At 43.2% G+C, this 2,407-nt stretch overlaps 1 annotated feature.

Moving 5' to 3' along the window:
* Positions 790-1,291: an enhancer, noted in NCBI's record as "OCT4-NANOG hESC enhancer chr12:98779458-98779959 (GRCh37/hg19 assembly coordinates)". NCBI's record gives its function as "activates a minimal SCP1, AML or CMV promoter by ChIP-STARR-seq in primed H9 embryonic stem cells {active_cell/tissue: H9 hESC(primed)}" and the evidence as "EXISTENCE:reporter gene assay evidence [ECO:0000049][PMID:30033119]".

Below are 2,407 nucleotides of genomic sequence, written 5' to 3' on the forward strand. Positions count from 1 at the left end.
GCTTTCCCAGTGCTAGTGCCAGTTTGATTGGAACTCAGCCTCTTCAAAGCTGTGGGAGTCTCATCCCAACAGTTTTCAGATCTTGCATCCCTAGTAGACCCTGGTTAAAAGGTTCAGGAATCCTACATGTTCTTCCCCTGGACGCAACTCCTTGAGAGGGATCTTCTAAACTCACATCCCTATGTGCCAACCCTGGATGTGCTACATTTGGCTCCCATCTCTGGCTGACCTAGCCTCCAGACAGTAAAGCATGGCATTTATGAGCCCAAAGGCTGCAGTCATACAAGGAGCATTTGAGTCCCAGGTCTGCCACCTACTAGCTGTATGATCTCAATCAATCACTTATGATGCTTTCTGAGCCAAACTATAAAATAGCGATAAAAACTCATACCTCTCAGAGTTGTTGTAAAGACTGAAAGAGGTAAATTAGATTTAGTTCCGTAGTTGTCACAGAGAAACTTTCAATAAGTCGATGTTATTCTTGGTGGAAGGCATCTTCCATCGTAGCATGTCCCCCCTCCCCTGCAACTTGGTGTCTAGCCATTCTCCACCTATTTAAACTAGACCTTAATGAAACAACTTAGAAATCGCTCAAAAGCCTAGATCATGACAATACTGATACAGGAGCTAAAAAGAAATTATTTAGGCAGATAGGGAGGGTAAGAGAGTTCTCAATAAGGTTTCCTTTTAAAAAAAACAAAAGCAGCCCCAAAATCATTTCTTTCCTAACAAAAAGCAGCCTGAAAAATCAAGCTGCAAGCATAGATAAGCAAGCTAAAAGCTTACATAGGTAAATACCAGCAGCTATGCCAATAGAAAAAGGCTACCTGGGGGCCAGGCATGTTCAACATGGCAGCTCCCTCTTCCCTTTTCTTTGTCAACCACATGTTCAGTAAGGAACAGACAACATGGAGCCGCCAGCTAGAGAACTCATCTGCACAATAAAAGACTAGGGTGGGGTGGCCAGCTTCTTCACAGGCTATGTAAATGGCACACCTGGTCCAACCATCTTTGGGCCCTGTGTTAATCAGACACCACCTCCTCAAGCTCATCTATAAAACCCTGTGTTTGATTGGAACTCAGCCTCTTCAAACCTGTGGGAGTCTCATCACAACAGTTTTCAGATCTTGGATCCCTAGTTAAAAGGTTCAGGAATCCTACATGTTCTTCCCCTGGACACAACTTCACCACAAAACCAGCAGACCCACTCAGGCACCCCTCTCTCTCTCTGCAGAGAGCTATTCTCTTTTCTCTTTCTTTCGCCTATTAAACCTCTGCTCTTAACCTCACTCCAGATGTGTCCGTGTCTTTGATTTCCTTGCCATAAGACAACAAGCCTCAGGTGTTACCCCAGATGAACAACGCTGCTTCAATACTTTTAGGTCTTTCAAATCAAAGTTATCCAAAATCAAATTTGGACATACACTGTTGTTTAATATTTATTTAGAACTTCATTCCCTCAACAAATATATATGAGCATCTACCGTATGCCAAGCACGGGGCCATGTGAGTATCAGATAGACATGGTACCTGCCCTCATGGAGGTTACAGTCCCCTGTTTCCCAAACCAGAATTAAAGAGATCCTTTTTTGTGGAAAATTTCTTACTAATCCAGATTTATGTCTAGCACAGTACTAGCTGGTAAAATCATTCTTTTGCTAGTAATTCACTATATTTTCCAATATTTTAAATGTATTTTTGTTCTTATTTTAAAACTTTATTAAAATTGAAAAATGTGGCCAGGCTCAGTGACTCACGCCTGTAATACCAGCACTTTGGGAGGCCCAGGCGGGCAGATCACCTGAGGTCAGGAGTTCAAGACCAGCCTGGACAACATGGTGAAACCCTGTCTCTACTAAAAATACAAAAATTAGCCGGGCGTGGTGGCAGGCACCTGTAATCCCAGCTACTCAGGAGGCTGAGGCAGGAGAATCATTTGAACCCAGGAGGCAGAGATTGCAGTGAGCCGAGGTCACGCCACTGCACTCCAGCCTGGGAGACAAACCGAGACTCTGTCTCAAGAAAAAAAAAAAAAAGAAAAAAAGGAAAAATGCTTGCTGACTCTCTGCACGAAGGTAACCTTCGGAAGCAGGGAGGTCTGGCCATCTTGTTTTACTACCCTCGTGTTTCTCCCAGGTAAACCTCAGGGAATGGCCACCACTGGCTCCTGATCTGTGGCCGAACATCTACTCTCCTCCCTCCAGGTCCTTTGCCATTTTTTCTCTTCCGGAACCTTCCAGTATTCCAAAATAAATACTGTATTTTTAAATCTGAAAATTTAGAACACATTCCAGTTACTTATCTGGATTTTTTTAAAACAAGAAAGGACTCCCAATTGCTGCAGTCAGTCTTTTAGAAAAGCAAAGAATTTTCTCTCTTGGGGAGTTGCTACATATGACGCTATTCT

Source organism: Homo sapiens, chromosome 12 (assembly GCF_000001405.40).
Source record: "Homo sapiens chromosome 12, GRCh38.p14 Primary Assembly".
Classification (NCBI taxonomy): domain Eukaryota; kingdom Metazoa; phylum Chordata; class Mammalia; order Primates; family Hominidae; genus Homo; species Homo sapiens.